The sequence below is a fragment of the Homo sapiens genome, chromosome 6 (assembly GCF_000001405.40).
Source record: "Homo sapiens chromosome 6, GRCh38.p14 Primary Assembly".
Lineage (NCBI taxonomy): Eukaryota > Metazoa > Chordata > Mammalia > Primates > Hominidae > Homo > Homo sapiens.
Genome location: NC_000006.12, coordinates 150,201,712 through 150,221,267, shown reverse-complemented (window position 1 = coordinate 150,221,267; position 19,556 = coordinate 150,201,712). Strand labels below are relative to the sequence as shown.

The window sequence follows — 19,556 nt, the reverse complement described above, 5'->3', positions numbered from 1 at the left end:
AACCCTGTCTACTTAAAGTGACAATTGTGAGGATTAAATAAAGTAATGTATGTTAGTGCAATGTGAACTACAGAGCTCTGGAAAAATATAAGCTATTAATTGTCATTATCACAATCCAGATGCCAGTAAAATCTGTTTCCTGTGATCATATGCTCAAAGGCAAAAGTGTCCAGCCTTTTTGAAATGACCCGTTAACAGATAAGTGAACTTGAATGAAATTCCTCAGCATTTTACATCATTTCTCCATTCCTAGAAATGGGAGCTAAAAAAAGAACACAGGGATGTTCAGTTAGAGACTCCAGCTCCTTTTTCTGCTTTTGGAACTCTGAAGAGTGTTCAAATAATACATTCTTTCATCTCCTGACCCTCCGTATAGAAACCAGATGAGAAATATTTTTGCTCTGGAGGCAAGACCCACCATTTTCATTGAACAGCATGGCTCCTAACTAGTGTAAATATTGGTTCCCTAGACATTATAAAACCTAGGGAGAGAACGGGCTCATTTCCATGAGAAAATGCAGTGCTTTTACTGCATTTCACTGTTGGCTGCGAAGCCAGGCAAAAGAGAAATCTGCAAGTCCAAACTCTCTCACCCAAATAACCAAAGCATGAATTTCTTCACTTAGGTGGAGAACTGAAGAAAAAGGGATTGATGAAATTAGTGAATGCGTGTCTGCAGCGACCAATGGGGCCTCCTCTCTGCAGCAACCCCTTCCACTCCCATATTACATGTTCATTCATCTACATCATTCATCATTTTTCTTGACTACAATTCTATTTTTCTTGTCTAACCCATCACACAATTTAAAATCGCTTTCCTATATTAATTCCCCAACTACCTATAAATAAAGAAGCTTTAGTCCCCAAACAGCTAAATGGTAAAGTCTCCTGCCTTCTCCTCTCTGCTTCCAGAAAGCCTAAAGTCAGACCGTCAACCCTCACATAGGGAATTTGAGGGTCAAACTCTAAAAATCCTGAATCTCCAGAGAAAAAGAACCAAACATTGACATTTTTGAGGAGCCATCCCCTTCCACACATAACAGATTCAGAAGAAAAATCTGGCTTGCAACTTGGTCACTCCATAGTGAGACCCAGCAATAGCCAAACAGTCTTGGCCGGGCGCGGTGGCTCTTGCTTATAATCCCAGCACTTTGGAAGGCCAAGGTGGGTGGATCACTTGAAACCAGAAGTTTCAGACCAGCCTGGCCAACATGGCAAAATCCGCCTCTACTAAAAATACAAAAATTAGCCAGGCATGGTGCCCCATGCCTATAATCCCAACTACTCAGGAGGCTGAGGCACGAGCATCGCTTGAACCCGGAAGGCAGGTTTTTCAGCGAGCCTACATGGCGCCACTGCACCCCAGCCTGGGGTGACAGAGCAAGACTCTGTTCAAAAACAACAAAAAAACAAGCCGTTCTTATACACACAAATGCAAATCAGTTTACTGTCTCCCCATATTAAAATGTGACTATGCTACCAAAAATCAGCAAAGACATGAAAATAGGCAGAAAAAGGTAAGATTCAGAGAAAACAGAGACAATGCAGAGAGTAGAATAATTTAAAACATAAACACAAAGAAAAACTTCTCCAGATTGTTGTATAGGGGCTCCAGGAGAAAAGTCTGGGGGCAGAGGGATGGTAATGATGTGATTGAACAGTCAGGAAATATGTTACATGTTTGACAAACACACTGGAGAGTTCAACAAAAAATACCAATTGGTATTAGACAAAACCAAAGACAAGCGTTATGGCCGGGCACAGTGACTCACGCCTGTAATCCCAGCACTTTGGGAGGCCAAGGCAGGTGGATCACTTGGGGCCAGGAGTTTGAGACCAGCCTGGCCAACATGGCAAAACCCCATCTCTACTAAAAATACAAAAATTAGCTGGGCTTAGTAATCCCAGCTACTCAGGAGGCTGAAGCACAAGAATCACTTGAACCTGGGGGGCAGAGGTTGCGGTGAGCCAAGATTGTACCACTGCACTCCAGCCTAGGTGACAGAGCGAGACCCTGTCTCAAAATAATAATAATAATAATAATAAAGGCAAGGATTGTCAACTCCAAGAGAAACAAAGGGCTATACAAAAAGGAACCATGATCATATTTACTGTTAGCTTAACAGTGAAAAACATTTGTTTAAATCATAGTATTATAAACCTTGACTACTAATTTAACAAAATACTGTTAAATAACTGATGAGGGTATAGATGAAAAGGAATTGTGTGGAGAGAGAGAGAGTGATCATCTTTCTCCTAAAGTCAATAAATGAAAAAAAAACAGTAAATGCATATTTAAGAATAAAAGAATAAGTAGGCCAGGCATAGTGGCTCATGCCTGTAATTCCAGCACTTTGAGAGGCTGAAGCAGGAGGATAGCTTGAGGCCAGGAGTTCAAGACAAGTCTGGGCAACATAGTGAGACCCAGTCTCTATAAAAAAATAAAAATAATTTAGCTGGGTGTGGTAATGCACGACTGCAGTACTAGTTACTCAGGAGGCTGAGGTGGGAGAGTTGCTTGAATACAGGAGTTCGAGGCTGCAGGGAGTTATGATTGCACCACTGCACTCCAGCCTGGGTGACAGAATGAGACCCTGTCTCTAAAAGAAAAAAAGAAAGAAAAGAGCAAATAGCAGGGAAGGGAAACAGCCAAAAGCGCAAAAGTGTTGCTTATGAAAATATAGAAATACAATACATAAATATAATATAAAATAGGAAAAGGGCCTGAAAGGTGGAGAAAGTCACTGTTACCTTTTTAAAATAAGCCTCAGAATTTTTTTTTGGGGGGGGGGGTTCAGATGTATTAGTATTACATTAATTTAAATATATACATATAATATTGTTTTCTTTTTTCTTTTTTTTTCTGAGACGGAGTCTCGCTCTGTCGCCCAGGCTGGAGTGCAGTGGCGCAATCTCGGCTCACTGCAAGCTCCGCCTCCCAGGTTCACGCCATTCTCCTGCCTCAGCCTCCCGAGTAGCTAGGACTACAGGCACCGGCCACCACACCCGGCTAATTTTTTGTATTTTTAGTAGAGACGGGGTTTCACCGTGTTAGCCAGGATGGCCTCGATCTCCTGACCTCGTGATCCACCCGTCTCGGCCCCCCAAAGTGCTGTGATCACAGGCATGAGCCACCGCGACAGGCCAATTTTTTTTTCTTAAAAGACGAGATCTCGCCATGTTGACCAGGTTGGTCTTGAACTGCTGCACTCAAGTGATTGGCCTGGGATTACAGGTGTGGGCCACCAAGCCTGGTCTAAAAGTATATATTTTGGTGGCTAAAATTAAAATTAAAAATCTCTATGACTGCAAGATGTAATCAAAGCTGGAGGTTGGAAGCATAAAGCTCAAATAGGTAACTAGTCCCAAACCAAGTCATTGAAATCAGACACTTGTAAAAGCATGCTTTCCTCCCCCCTTTTAATTAGACCTCTTCAAAAATCAGAAGTCTTATCACCATTGCTTTGATGTTACAAACAGACTTCAAAACATCTGACGGATCTTATAATTTCTCCAATTTATCAGAGGAAGAAAGTACTTCTCTTGCTAATATTTTCATAACTGATTAAAACCTTAATTTCTACTATGTGCTGTCAGTCATGAGAGTCTACATGAAATGCTTTAGTCTAATCACATTAATGCTCATTTTTATGATAATGTTTATACATTACACTTGATAAATATCTAAACAAAGCATAACATTTTTTCCCAATAAAGGTAACTCTTTGGAAAGACAGACCTGCCTTTACGCTTTTAAAAAATACATACCGATAGGCCGGGTGCGGTGGCTCACACCTGTAATCCCAGCACTTTGGGAGGCCGAGGCGGGTGAATACCTGAGGTCAGGAGTTTGAGACCAGCCTGGCCAACATGGTGAAACCCCGTCTCTACTAAAAATACAAAAATTAGCCGGGCGTGGTGACGCACGTCTGTAATCCCAGCTACTCAGGAGGCTGAGGCGGGAGAATTGGTTGAACTCAGGAGGCGGAGGTTGCAGTGAGCCGAGATCACACCACTGCACTCCAACCTGCGCAACAGAGCGAGACTCCGTCTCAAAAAAAAAAAAAAAAAATACATACCAATAAACCAATAGAATATATAAACCAGTTATAAACCTAAAACTTTTACTAAAATGATTCCAAACCCTTTCACAATTTCCTTTGAAGTTTGGCTTTTATCTAACACAAGCAACACACTCTGCTCCATTAATTTTAAGTATCTCTGAACTAGACATGTTTAGGCTTAGAAATAATGAAGTTAGAGCTATTCAAACATATGCACTCATGGATAATAATTGCTAATTGGTATACACACACTCAAACCTACTTATTGTGGTTTGCTTTAAAAATAGACAAATTGATTTAATAAAAACCAGTTCAAACATGGCATTTAGGAAAAGTGATTTGCTTACCTCTGTTGGTTTGTAGCAGTCTACAAGAGCTTCCTAGAATTAAACACACAGAAAATCAGTTTTATTATTTTAAAATTCAGCATTATTTTTAAGGCAAAATTAAAAATCATTTTATATTCATAGTATTATTTTATAATGGTAAATCAAGATTTCATACTATCTAGAAACGCACTTCATTTCAGCACCAGTTGGTAGTCTGAAGATAGAAAACGTTTAACCTTCATAAATTCTTCAGCCTGCATACACATGTGCTACATAGAAGTTTTTTGAACAGGAAAATATTTATTTTTTTTTTTTGCTACCATAGCATTGAAAACAAAATATAACCCTTGACCAGTTTTGTTTGTTTGTTTGTTTGTTTTGAGACAGAATCTCGCTCTGTCACCCAGACTAGAGTGCAGTGGTGCGATCTCAGCTCATTGCAACTTCTGCCTCCCAGTTCAAGTGATTCTCCTGCCTCAGCCTTCCGAATAGCTGGGACTACAGGTGTGCACCACCACACCCGGCTAGTTTTTGTATTTTTAGTAGAGACAGGTTTTTGCCCTGTTAGCCAGGCTGGTCTCGAACTCCCGACCTCAGGTGATCCACCCGCCTTGGCCTCCCAAAGCACTGGGATTACAGGCGTGAGCTACCATGCCCAGCCCCTTGACCAGGTTTTGAATGTCTTGCTGAGGAAAAAAGCTTCTTTTAAAAAAGGACAGGGATGCTCAAGCATCCATTAGGTTGCAGACTTCAGAGAGATGTGGACTAATTTAGTAGCTCAAATCCAGGATGGCCTTCCACAGGAACCAAATCCCCCTTTCCGGTTTTCCTTCAATTAACTGGATATAACCCGGCAGGATCCAAATGGTTTCAAACCCACTCCTCTGGTCAATGACTTTTTACCTCCTCTGTATGCACACGCGCATGCACACACCTTTCCTTTGGCTGCCAACTTGGTGGATATTCAAGTTGAGCCAGCCTGTGCAAGATGGTGGCACCCACACTGCACTCAGGAAGCAAGGGGTTTAAGTGCAATGCAGCCATAAACCAGCTTGGGTCCTCACCTGGGAACTGGGGGGTGCGGGGTGATGATAGCTTAAAAACTCCTCTCAAGTTCTCAATTTTAAGAAAACTCTGTTATGTCATTACATTTTCTATAGAACTGATACCTGCGTTATCTTTTTAAAATTTTATAACTAGGATGCTATTGTCTCCCAGCTAAATCTAGCAAGAAGAAATAATTGTCATAATTGAGACTGTTCACCACTCAAGGGATGCTAGTAATAACTAATGCATTAAACACATTAATACATTCAAATGTGCCCTTTGATTGCCGTAGTGGCCATTTGCCATTTGTGGTCACCAACAGTCATTAACAGTAATTATCAGTGGACATTAAGAACAATGGCAAGTCAAAAGTTAATTGGTTTTAGAAACTCCCAAAAGCAGATTTAAAAATGATAGATTTGACCTCCTGTGGGAAGGGAAATAAGTACTGTACTTTATTGCTGTCCACTAAGGAAATACTAGACATCTCAATATCCATCGTTGTACTGGAATGCTATGAGGTGAGCACTGTCTATGAACAGATCGTCTACTAAATAGAATTATGTCATAAGCAATATTTAGAAATTAATTTCATGAATGATACAGTCCACAACTGTGAGACCAGAGCTCTAGTCTTGGATATTCCAGTGCTAGCTCAGTCCCTCTCTTTCTCATACAACTGTGGGGCATCACTTCCCTTCCCTGGCAAGTGGATCTTTGGAAGCAGAATCAGCTGTTTCTCCCAAGAAAATGGGGCTGGAGAAAGTTATACCCATAAGGCGCTTTGAAAATGGACTATAGTCAAGGGCTGCTTTATCCTCAGAGAGGCAGTTTAAGAGAGTGAACACTTAGCAGCCCATTGCTTTCCTCTCTGCAAATGGCCCAGGTCCTGGTGCCAACACCACCACAGGGCGGAATCAGTTGATGCCAAGCACTGAAGACCCAAGTAGACTCTCAAGTGTCCATGATTAGAAGGTTCTCAATTTTGGAAACTGCTTACCTGTAATTTTGAAGCTCTCTCTTCATCACTGTCTGCATCAAGAAGATCATCAATGTCAATTTCTACCTCTGGCATTTCTTCTTCCTGGGGGGCAGTGGGAGGATATGAAGGCATTTAATTTAGTAAGAAACCTGACTGTACCCCACCAGTTAGGTTAAGTTGAACAAACAACTAGATCATCAATTGAGAAGGGCTGACAGATAAGCAGGGGGAAGGAGAGGCTAGGGGGAGAGGAGGGAAGGAAAGAGAGAAAAGGGGAAACAGGATGAAGGGGTAAAGAGGAGAAGAAGGGAAAAGACAGGAAAAGGGAAGGAGGGATGGGGACAGATGAAGAAGGGAAATGAAGGAAGGAAGGAAAAGGAGAGTAGGGGAAAAGAAGAGAAGGAGGAGGGGGAGCAAAGGAGAATTAAGAGTCACAAAGCCATAAAAGTAATCTTTCAAAAAATGAGAATTTTCTACTTTCTAGCATTAAGCTGCATCTGTAAGTATATAAGGGGAGACTGGCAGATGATAGAGCCGGGAGATGACAGTTTCCTATCTGACAGCCACCCTTTGCTGGGTGATTACCCCAATCTTTATTTGGGGGTCCACATCTTCCTTCACAGCTCTGGGTCTATGGAAAACCTGATTCCACCATGGGATTTGGGGCATCAGTATGGCTTTAGCCCCAGTTACTGATTTAAGAGAAGACACGTGGTCCAACTAAGAACTAAGGGGGCTCTGGGAAAAGGCGCTGTTTTTACAAGAACGTCCCCTTCACTCCCTCTGAACCGAGGAAGTGTGGCACCGGAAATTACCGGTGGCTACCATACAACCCTGAAGAAAGGCTGTTTTGGATGAGGCTGACTCCACGTTAGGCAGAGCTGAAGAGAATAAGAAAACAGGGTTCTAGATAAAGTCACCACATCCCTGTGTCAAACCACCTCTGAAGCCTGCCTATCAGTGAGTGAATCAACCTCTTTCATTGTTGCAGCCAATGTGGGTCTAGTTTAATATTCCTGCCACCAAAGACCTCTAGCCCAAAAAGAGGGAAGAAGGGCCAGATGGATTTGGTGAAAGACCCCACTGATTTGGAATCTGAACTTCAAAGGAGATCTTGGCTATTTCTCATCTCTTCTGTTACCTAAGTCTTCTCTATACCTCTCAGAATAGCATTTTAAAATGTCAAAATAAAAGAGCATTTAAGAGAGTCCTGCAATTTTGCATTTCATCAGGAGTCATGGCAGCCCAACTCCTTCCAGCCACAGGGATGGCTGAGAAGCATCTGCAGGAGCTAGAGAGAAAGGTGTACATGGGGACACTGGGGACACCCGGGCATTCCCTGGGTGTGGCCTCTCTGTGTCTTGGCTCCAAGAGCTGTTTGTCTTGGCTTCCCAGAAGAGGCTGACTTTCTGAATGTTTCCTTCCTACTAAAGTGCATTTATTCAGTAATAGTACTCAACCTCTTGTGTGTGTGTGTGTGTGTGTGTGTGTGTGTGTGTTACAACACAAAAGTGAGGACCCCAGTATACTGAGGAAGTCAAGGAATATGATACACTATCCTCGCTGACATTAGCTCCAAGAACAGGCCCTCAATGGGCAGGAAAATTCCAGAAACAACCTCTCTAGTGATTTATTCTTGTTTCTGTGGAGAATTTCCGTTTTGATCCTTTGCTTGGCTCTTAAGGGGAAAAATCCACTTCAAAAGCAGTATTTATCAATGTGAACGTTTTAGATCTCATCTGTGCGGTTCTGCCTAATGGAAGAAAGATTTTGTACTCCTCGACATAATTTTCATATTTGTACTTAACAATCATGTAGCTATTAATAGAAGCAGATGATGTAGAAACAGGAAGTTGAAACGCTTTGATGATAATAAAGCTGAAGGATGACCTTTCGATGGCTAGGAGCATCGTTGGGCAAACATCACAGAGTGAACTTACACAAACCTAGATGGCGTAGCCTACCACACACCCAGGCTGTATAGCACAGCCTATATTGCTCCTAGGCTGTAAACCCGGACAGCATATTACCATACGGAATAATGTAGGCAACGGTAACACAGTGGGAAATATTTGCGCATCTAAACATAGAAACGGTACGTTAAAAACAGGGTATTATAATCTTATGGGACCACTGTCATATATGCAGTCCATTGTTGACTGAAATGCTGTTATGCGGTTCGTGACTGCACTCGCCAGCTATACCACTGTGGCTCCTTAAATCACAGCTAAGGGAGCTTGGTGTCTGCTATTTTTAAAGGAAATGAGAGAACAATTAGTAACTAATGCCCTCCGCAGAACAGCACAGCAATGGGTTTTTCTGCAAATATAATTCAAATAGTTTTGACGCCAGCCAAGTTAGGCCAAACAGGCTTTGACTTGCATAGCAGTGTAGAGCCTCGCCCTACACAGTAGGCATCTTCAGTTAGGCATCTTCCCCTTAGGACTGTGCACGGCTCTCTGTTAGGTATTGCACTGACCCATTTTCCCCAACCCCTGAGATCTGGGCTGTCCCATATGGTAAGCATATGTGGTAAGCACATTTGAATACATTAAAATGAAATACAACTCAGTTCCTCAGTCGCAATGACCACATCTCAAGTGCTCAATAGCTACACGAGGCAAGTGGCTACTGTGCTGGAAAGCACAGATGGAGAGCACTTGCATTGTAGCAGAAAGCTCTATTGGACAGTGCTACCCCAGAGTACACTCGCCCTCTGGCCCAGAAGTTGGGAAGCAAAGCCCCTTCCCCTCTCAAAGGGGCTTGACAGGAGTAAAGAAAAAAATGCCAGGCATCTCAAGGTCACTCCTACTACCCAAGGGCATGTGATGAGAAACCCTGAGCTTGGTTTTACCAGCCAGAAAGCTGATGCAAACAAAGCCCAGATCTCAAGGGTTGGGGAAAAAACCTCAAGTGATTGAGTCATCGTTAACAGCCATTAGGCATCTGCGCTTTTTACCAACCTATGCTGCTTCTCAGAAATCCCACCCTGATTTATCAGAGGCATAGGAAGAGAAAGGCATCCCGCTCCCAGCTCAGCATGCGTCCCGGGTGTTCTGAATGTCAGTGAAGCTGAAACAAAACCCAGGTGAGAAGAACATAGAGACCCAGAGGCTCTTGAGGGAGAGTCCTGGGAAGCAAAGACAGCACCTAGTACCAAGTAGAGAATCCTGTAAATTGGTACTTAATATTCTTAATGAGAAGTATGGAAATATTCTAAATTTGATTGAAGTCCTATTTAACTTTATCTTCTGTATGCTGATCTTAGAGCAGTATCACTGAATGACCTTAGTGATAGATCAAATCACTTACAAAGGAGGGAACATGCCCATGGCCCACCATGACGTCCCAGAGCTTAGTTGTGTTTGGGCATTTTCCCACATTAAAGGTGTGTCCCTAAACAGTGGCTCTGGTGACAAAAAGTGAAACAACTGTCTTCACAGCTGCTGGGGAAAGTTATCAGCTACTCCCTGCCCCACATTAGTGAGAGGCCCTCCTGTTGGTACCCATAGCACGAGGCCCTGGATCACCTCTACACATCTTTCTTGTCGTACATTTGTTGAGAACCCAGAGTCCGCAGAGTGCAAGGCACTGTGTGTCAGCCACAGTGAGGCCCTGGCACTGGGGGACGGGCTGTCTAAACACAGCTCTGACAAACACAATGACATGCAATGGCCCCAAAGCCACAGACAAACCTGAAGCGCTTTAGTGATTCAGGGAGAGAGAAAACTCCGCCAGGGGCAGGCAGGGAAGTTGCACACAGGAGGGAGGAGGTGAACTGACCTTGCGGAATGACAGGATTTGAACAGGTTTAGAGGGAAGGGAGAGCACTCCCAAGAGGCAAAATGGTAGCAGGAGGCAAAGAGACAAGATGAATTCTAAATGTGGGTGTAGAAAGGTCCTTGGCCAGGAAGCCAGTCAGCTCTGGGCTGCAAATATGCACGTCGATGGGGGCCAGACAGGTGACAGAAATGGAGCAGGCTGAGGGGCTATACAGTAGAGTGAGGAGTGCAGCAAACTGGAGAAAACATGGCCTGAGGGAAAGCAGCAGGGAACACGCCATTCCCACCTCCTGTCACCTTCTAGGAATATGTGCTCAGTGCTGCTGGATTTTCTACGTTTTCAGGAATAACTGAAAATAGAGTTTTTTAATGTAAAAAAATTCCAATTTTTAAAGCTGTCCGTCAACTTCTTAAAATATTGTGTAGGATAAACAAAACCCATTGGCCCATAGGCTGCCGGTTCCCCTTGTCCTGCAGAGACTGTCACACTGAAGGCTCCATGGCTCCAGAACAAGACAGGGGAATGACAGAAGGAAGAGATGGCCCCACTGCGGAGCCCGGGATAACAGGGAGGAGGCAGGAGGCTGTGGGAATGTCATGTATCAGGTGCGAAGCAACAGGGCTTGAAGATGATCCTGGCAAAAATAAGATTTTAAAATAGTGATAATAGGGAGGAATAAACAGATGGAGTTTGGAGATGAACTGGATGAGGGATCGGGGGAAAGAAAAGGTAAAGATAAGATCCAGGTTCTGAGGCTGAGAGGTTTTGGAGAAGGACAGTAATGACGGGAGCACACCGGGGCTCTGAAGACACCTCACAAACCAACACACAGTGTAGGCTTGGCCATCACCAGCCCCCTTGCCCCAACTTGCAAGCAGCAGTGGGACTCCGCATTGCCACTGCACTGGGAAGCGCTGCAGAACCTGGCGCTGGGCATGCCACGGATGAAGCTCAGAACAGGCTCAGGTACCAGGATGCAGAAATGCAAGCAAAGCAGGGTCCTGAAACACAGCTGGCCCGCAGTGACAACACACACACACACACAAATATATACACAAACATACACAAATATATACACAGACATACACACACATGAATACACACAATCCACACCACTCATACACACACATGCACACACACATACACAAACATATACACATACACACAGATGAATACACTCCACACCATTCATACACTCACATCCACACACACACACACACAAATATATACACAAACATACACACACATGAATATAAACACTCCACACTACTCACTCACATGCATGCACACACAAATATATATACAAACATACACACACGAATACACACACTCCACACTACTCATACGCTCACATGCACACACACACACACAAATACATACACAAACATACACTCCATGTGAATACACACATGGATGAATACACAAACATGAATACACACACTCCACACCACTCACATGCATACACACACACAAATATATACACAAACATACACACAGATGAATACACACACTCCACACCATTCATACACTCACATCCACACACACAAACACATACACAAACATACACACACATGAATACACCCATTCCACACCACTCATACACTCACATGCACACATACACACATACACAAATAAACACACAGATATATACACACACTTCTAACTAGCCAGAAAGTTTACACTGTCAGCCCTGTCTGATGTCACATTAGCTTTTAAAAAATATAAACGTTCACCCCTGCCCACAGCAGTGAAGGGAGCAGGCAGGAATGTTCAAGCTAAAACCTCACCTGAAGATGGATCATGGTCTCCAAGCTCTAGGAGACATAGCTTGGCAGCTTCCTGGAAATGACTGTGGCTAACAGCTCTCATCCGTCTCCATTTCAAAATAGGGATGGCAACGTAACACGGGATTAAACTCCTGTGCAAATTGTGGCAGCTGATGGAGAAACGTGGGGTGGCAGGGGTGGGGAGTGGCAAATGTCAGCTTATTATGGCCTGTTCAAACACTCATCTGAACAATAGCCACAATTTCTTATAGCTCATCTTTCTATAGGCCTATGGGAGCAAACTGGCATAGGAAGCGTATAAAAAGAACTGAATCCTTGGGACTATGTGAGCTGTCTATGAAAACATTTACATCTCATGTTTTCATTGTAATGACAATCCAAAATAATTCCTGTAAGCAAGCACAGTCTAAGAATAGTCTGGACAGCCGTGCTATAACCACGCTGTGCCGGGCTGCTCTGTGTTTACACATTGGCATCAAGCAGAATTATGTTAATTGTTGTGGCTAATGAGAAAAAAGCCACAGGGTAGATTTAATATATAAATGACTCATTCACGCCAAGTGAAGCCAAACGCTATCACTCAAAGGACACTGAGAGACGGCAATCTGTACCTAATTCCAGTGACAAAAGGAGTGAAGCCAGCCATCACAGCAAAGGGATGTTGTGCATTTGAGTTTCATTAGCTGGTACTTTATGTTTAATTTGCAATTTGGATGTGATTTTTATAACCATAGCATAAGGAATTTATACCCAGTTTTAAGTGGTATGTATTTAAATAATATAACATTAAATATTTAAATCAGCCCTGGAATCTGCAAAAAAAAATGTTCCCACTTAACAAGGGGCCCAACCTACCCTATGACACATCACTATATAATGTCAGAACACTGGGGATAAAGGGAGGATCCTGGAAGCTTTCAGAAGAAAACCAGGCCACACATGGAAGATAGAGAATTAATGTCAGTGGGTTTCCCTATAGCAACAGAGCATGGAAGCCAACAGCAAATATTCCAGAAACCCGAGAGGAAACCATTTCCACCCTCAAGGCCTACATCCTCCCTGCTATGGTTTGGATGTGGTTTGACCCCTCCGAAACTCAGGGTGAATTTGGTCCCCAGGGCAACAGTACTGAGTGAGAGGTAATGGGAACCTTCAGAGGTGATTAGGTCATGGGGGCACACCCTCATGCGTGCATTAACACTGTTCTCTAGAGACTGAGTTGGTTCTCATGAGGCGCTGGTTGTTATAAAGTGGATCAGCCCCCTTTGCCCCATCTCTTTTTTCAAGCGCTTGCCTGCCCTTCCAGTTTTCTGCCATGCTATTACACGGGATGAACGCTGTCACCAGAAGCCAACCAGATATGACCCCTCGACCTTGAACTTCCCAGGCCTTGAGGTTGGAAATTGGTTCCTCTTGGGATTCTGGAATCCCTGCTCTTGGCTTCCATTGGGAAGCCTGCTGACATTGATTATCTTCCTCCAGAACTAAAAGAAATAAATTTATTTTCTGTATACATTACCCAGTCTGTAGTCTTCTGTCACAGCAACAGAAAATGAACTAAGACATTCTCAGACTATCTATCAAGAGTAGAGAAAAAACCATAGACATTTTAAGACATATTAGGTCTTACATCTTCATGTATTTATCCTGTTTTGGGAAGGAGTGCTCCAGAAAAATAGAGAAATAAACTTTGATTTTCTTATATCCTCTACAGTTGTGGCTCATGAAGGCCAGAGGGCATGTCCCCAAATCCAGATTGAGGAAGGTACATGGGATGCCGGAGTGAAGAACGAAACAGATGGAGGCTTGACAAGCTGGGGAGCACGCAAGGCATGGAGATGAGCTTGCCTGATGCGAATCGAGGGCCCAGCCCCACCGGGCACCCATCTGCACAGGTGGCCAGGCCATTTAGAGTGGCTGGGGTAGGATGGCCTCACCTTGGGCCTTAGACAGAAGTAGCATGGGTAAACAAGCATATGCCTTTCCAGTGGGATCCTATATTACCAGTATTTCCCTAATACACATTTGTTTTTAAAGTTAAACCAATGGCTAAAGCTTGCTTAGAGCCAGAGAGCAAAGTCCTCCCAAAGCCCTTTTTAAAAACATCAAAATAGGCCGGGCACAGTGGCTCACACCTGTAATCCCAGCACTTTGGGAGATCGAGGCAGGCAGATCATGAGGTCTGGAGCTCAAGAACAGCCTGACCAACGTGTTGAAACCCTGTCTCTACTAAAAATACAAAAATTAGACGAGGATAGTGGCATGTGCCTGTAATCCCAGCTACTCAGGAGGCTGAGGCAGGAGAATCGCAGGAACTCGGGAGGCAGAGGTTTCAATGAGCCGAGATCATGCCATTGCACTCTAGCCCGGACAACAGAGCGAGACTCTGTCGCAAAAAAAAAACAAAAACAGAAACAAACAAAAAAAAACATCAAAATAGCCTGACTGAACCTGACTCCATTGACTCCATGGTGAAGTGAAGGAATGTTTTACATAATATTTACAGGAATCGCCTTTCTTGTCACCCAGGAGAGCAGGTCCTGACCTACCTATATCCTACGAAGGTTCACTTCTGGGGCACTGACGCAGATGCAAATGACAGCTGCGGCAGAGAGGAGAGCTCCCGGCAGGGACCATCCTCATGCCCCGTGTAGAACGCCTCCCTTTCCTCCTGCTCATGAAGACACATTCCAACACAAGTGAACAGGAGTGGCATTGTCTCACAAATCAACACTGTAAAACAAATACCAGTGCTCACACATGAAGATGCACATCACGGGTTACGTCAGATTATTCTAGAACTAGGCACATCTACATCAGGATCTCAGAACACCAGGCAAACCCCTGCAGCACCGATTTACTGAGCACCTACTACCTGCCAGGCACTGTCCTAGATGCCAGGGTTAAGGAATAAACAATTGACAAAAATATTTGCTCTCGTGGGGATTAAACTCTAATGGGGGAAGACAGACAATAAACAAATAAGTACAATACGTACAGTGGCAAAGATTGATAAATATTTTGCAGAAAAATTAGGCAGGGGAGACAGGGAGTATGGGGGCTGGAATTTTAAGTCAGGCAGTGACAGGGTAAGGCTCAGCGAGAAAGGTATCTGATTAAAGACACAGCATCAAGGGAAAACACGTAATGCCAGGCTGTGTCTAAGAAGCTGCCAGGAGCCCGGGGTCACTGTATCAGAGTTGGGGCCATGGTGGGGGAAGGGACAGAGCATGTGGAGACTCAGAGGCCCCTGTAAAGCCTCTGACTTGTACCGTGAGCAAGAGAAAAGCCATTGATGGGTTCTCATTCTTTCAGAGGCATGATGGGTTATGGTTTACCTGTTAGAAAGGAGGGCATACGCGAAAAGACCAGTTAAGAGGCCACAGAAATAAGCTGGGAAGAGATGACACTGGCTTTAACTAGGGAGTAGCATGATATATATATTTCTTTTTCTTTTTTATTTCCATTATTTTTTTTTTTTTTTGAGACGGAGGCTCATTCTGTCGCCCAGGATGGAGTGTAGTGGTGCTATCTCGGCTCACTGCAATCTCCACCTCCCAAGTTCAAGGGATTCTCCTGCTCAGCCTCCCAAGTAGCTGAGATTACAGGTGCCTGCCACCACACCCAGCTAATTTTTGTATTTTCAGTAGAGACGGGGTATCACCATGTTGGCCAGACTTGTCTCAAACTCCTGACATCAAGTGATCCGCCCACCTCAGCCTCCCAAGCATGATATATATATTTTGTTCTTACAAACGAACTCTTATCTGGGTCACTGCTGATCCAAACCTCAGAGAGCAAACTGGTATCTCAAGAGCTCCATCAGGTACTGTAGTTGGGTGAGCCATTTAGCACTTTGCAAGATCACAAGTACCAAGCTCACACCTATGCAACAGCAGCAGCAGGCCAGTGTGATGGGTGTGTGAGCCACTGACGATGCAGACCAGGTGGTAAGAGAAGTACCCAGGGGCTGTTGGTCCCAGAAGTTCAGTGAGGCTGCTAGACACTGACTAAGCCCAGGCTGAACTGCCTGGGGGCGGCGGCAAAGCAACAAGGAACTAGGCTGAGGAGGTCTTTTCTAGGTCCTGAACCCACCCACCAGGCAGGTTTCTCTTTCCCACCCACCAGGGAAGTTGCCAGTATCACTGGCACCCAGGGCAGGCTTAGTTCGTGCCCCCAAATCTCTCCCCTACATTTAGCAATTCATTTTAGCAAAAATGACTATCTCTGGAGAGATTATCAAAGTGCTCCAGACACAGTTTAACAAAAAAAAAAAAAAGACTCTGAGTTGGAGCAGAGGTTGTGTTCTATGCCCAGCCTTGATCTCAAAGGGCTCAAGAGGCCACTTCCTCCTGCAATGGGAGGACCCTAGGGAGTCTGGTGAACAGAGCACAGCATGGGAAGAAAGCGACTGAAGCCTCCGACTTCCCGTGTATGCCCCAGGCTGCCCTGCTTCTCAGCACAGAGTCGGTCCCTTGGGTAGGGGCCAAGTGGTGTTGTGCCCAGAGCATGGAGTTTGGAGAGAAGCAGACCCAGGTTTCAGTTTCATCTCTGCCTCTGACAACCCGTGAGAGCTGGGGCAGGGTAACGCATCCCCTAACCCTTAGTTCCCACACCTGTAAAATGGGGACTGCTAGCTAATTCTCGGGGCTGGATAGAAATCGGGCACAATCATGCCCACGCACGTTGTGCAAACTCAACAAATGGTGACAGGACCTCAGTGGGTGCTAAGTTGACTGGGCACATCCGATTCCTCTTCAAATAAATAAATATTCCATGTAAATGTCTCTTCCAGGGAATCGTGTACTCCTGATGCCTGAAAATCGTTAAGTGAAGACTTATCACATTACCGATTTGTTCAAAACCACAGCATTCAAAGAGAAAAAAAGAAAAGAAAATGTCAGCAAAAAAACCCAGATGCAGAGCTTCCTGGAGACAATCACACTTTGCTCTGCTTATGAACACTAAACACGCACAGCTGGTTGTTAACAATGCCCCCGTGACGAGAAAGTCGGCAGGTTGGTCCTCGTAAGACGAGTGAAAATAAGTGACGGCTGAGACAGTTGCTAAAGATGGCAAGGACAATCTTCTAAGCCGTGGCATAAACGAGGACACTGAGAACACCTTGAAAGCACTGGACACAGTGGCCAGGCGGCCGCCACCCTCACGGCTCCTGTGCCGACAGCAGCCTCTCTTCTCAGGGCCCTTCTTTCTCCGTGCAGCACCTACATGAAGATCCCCGGAAGGGAGAGGAACACCATGCGGAAGCTACAGGCTTGGCACTGGTCCTGGGCTACAGGCAATGGATAAGAAGACTGGGAAAGAATAAAGGAAGGGCTGGCGCCACCCAAGGACAGAGCAGCAGCAGTCCAGCCTGTCTCTAAGAAGTCACACCTGTCTACGTCTTGCTTGCCATTAATTTAGGGATTGAGCCTGAGCTGTCTCTGATAGAAGATGGTCCACATCCAGATTTGCAGTGGAAAGGCTTAGGGCCAAGCAGAATTCTCTTAGACTGGAAACACTCAAATTACCCGATGATGGAATAAAAGCAGTGGGCAGAAGCCCGTTCTAGCCAATTCTTGGAGAGAAGACGGTTCCCCTGCACTATCAACTGCTCATGACTGAGGCATTCGGGGTTGCTGCAGTGTTAGATTTCCTAACACAGAACACGAAATCCAGACCGTTTCACCTCCTGCCTCGGGAAGGCTCCTAGATCAGCAATGGCCAAATATGTCCAGTACGGGCAGGTGCACAGAAGCCTGAGAAGATGATACGGAAAAGCCGCTTGGAAGACACTGAGAGGAAATTGTGAATCCCATCGCAAGGCCTCCAGCCGGTGAGCAGACACACTGCACTTGGAGTATAAAAGACCATTGCTGATATGGGCCATCAAGCATGAAAAGACACGAAGGACCTTAAATGCAGATCCATAAGTGAATGAAGCCAAAATGGAAAGTTGCCATACGCATGATTCCAACTACAGGACGTTCTGGAAAAGACTAAAATATGGAGATAGTAAAACCATCAGGGATTGCCAGGGGCCAATGAGGAAAGAGAGATGACTAAGGCAGAGCACAGGGCAATTTTCAGGCCAGAAAACCTGTGTGATCTTATAAGGGTGCATCTATATCATCACACATTTGCCAAAACCCAATTAGAGGAAAATGACACACAACCCCAGAACCCACAGGATGTACAACACAAAGAGTGAGTCTGAATGGAAATGATGAGCTTTAGCTAATAATAATGTAGCAAGATTGTCTCAGCAATTGTAACCAAGATACAACACTAATGCAAGATGTTAAGAAAAAGGACAACCGGACTGGAGGGAGGAGAAAGAAAGGGGTAGATGAGAATTCTCTGTGTTTTTGGCTCAATTTTTCTGTAAATCTAAAATGCTTTTAAAAAATTAAGTGATTAAATTAAAACAAAACAAAACAAAAGACCAAGACTAATGTGTTGGTGGTGGCTGAACCCAGGAAGGTGAGGGCCAGGCCTTCCTGTGACTGGCTCTGCTGGTTCTTCTTACAGCCGAGGGCTGGGCAAAAGGTCCAGGTGTGAGTCATACAATGACCTTCAGCCAACTGAGGCACACCCAGGTCCTCAGCTTCAGCCCTGAGACCAGGCCAGGCTGTGTGGGAGGGCACCATGGGGACCCTCCCAGAGAAGAGCCTGCAGGGCTGTCCCGGCGGCAAAGGAGCGGCAAAGTCGGCCGAAGCTTCTTCTGCCCAATGGGGACTCCAGCTCCTGGTTGAGAGGAGCCAGGGTTGCTGCTGACAAGACACGGGCCTGCCCCAAACCTAAGAACGGCAAGGGTGCCAATGAGAAAGGGACAAACCTAAGAACAGCAAGGGTGCCAATGAGAGAGGGAGAAGCAAAGCCAGACACCAGGACAGCCTGAGGCAAGGAGGTGTGGGCTTGATCTGGGAAAAGCCAGCCGGAGCCAGGCAGTGCCTCTTCCGTGGGACCCAGCCTGCGTGACAGAGTGGGGGTACAGGGGAGGGACACAGAGATTAACAGAGACTCAAGGCTGGCAAGCCTTGTTGTGGGGTGGGCACCCACCAGGGATGTTCTGCATGAGGATGAGAAACTTGCTAGAACATTCCTTGCACTACCTTCCTCACACCACACAGCAGAGAGGCGAGAGAGGAGCTCACGCTTGATGCAAGGCTACACCAGGGTCAGAGGGCAGGCCCCCGGGGCACACAGGCTCAGCTGCCTTTGGTCTTAGGGAATGAGGCCAGTCCAAAATAAAAAGTCATTTAACCAGAGCTGCCTTGTGAAATGAGCAGAGCAAAGGGCATGCTTCTTTGTAAATTATTACCATAATCGTTTACCTGTAATGCATGTTTATGCAGGCAATGTGACGGTTCATGGAATACTTCACTCCTGACCCCTCCTCTCCCTGTCGCCACCATCCAATCCATCACCATAACTGTCAATTCTATGGCTTACCGTCTCCTGAACCTGCACTTTGTACCACCTCCACTGCCCCCCTAGTGAAAGCTAAATCATCTTTTGCATAAGCTATAGCAGGAGCCTCTTAACTGGCTTCCATAAACTC

General features: G+C 45.0%; 1 protein-coding gene across 1 annotated transcript in view; it reads right to left on the bottom strand.

Annotated features, from left to right (window-relative positions):
- The window catches only part of PPP1R14C (protein phosphatase 1 regulatory inhibitor subunit 14C), a 107,349-nt gene that overhangs the window by 29,125 nt on the left and 58,668 nt on the right, over positions 1-19,556 (bottom strand). The window contains exons 2-3 of the mRNA NM_030949.3: positions 6,441-6,524; positions 4,412-4,444 (exon numbers count right to left, since the gene is read on the bottom strand). Coding sequence (NP_112211.1) covers positions 4,412-4,444; positions 6,441-6,524 — 117 coding nt within the window. The remainder of the gene's footprint in view (positions 1-4,411; positions 4,445-6,440; positions 6,525-19,556) is intronic.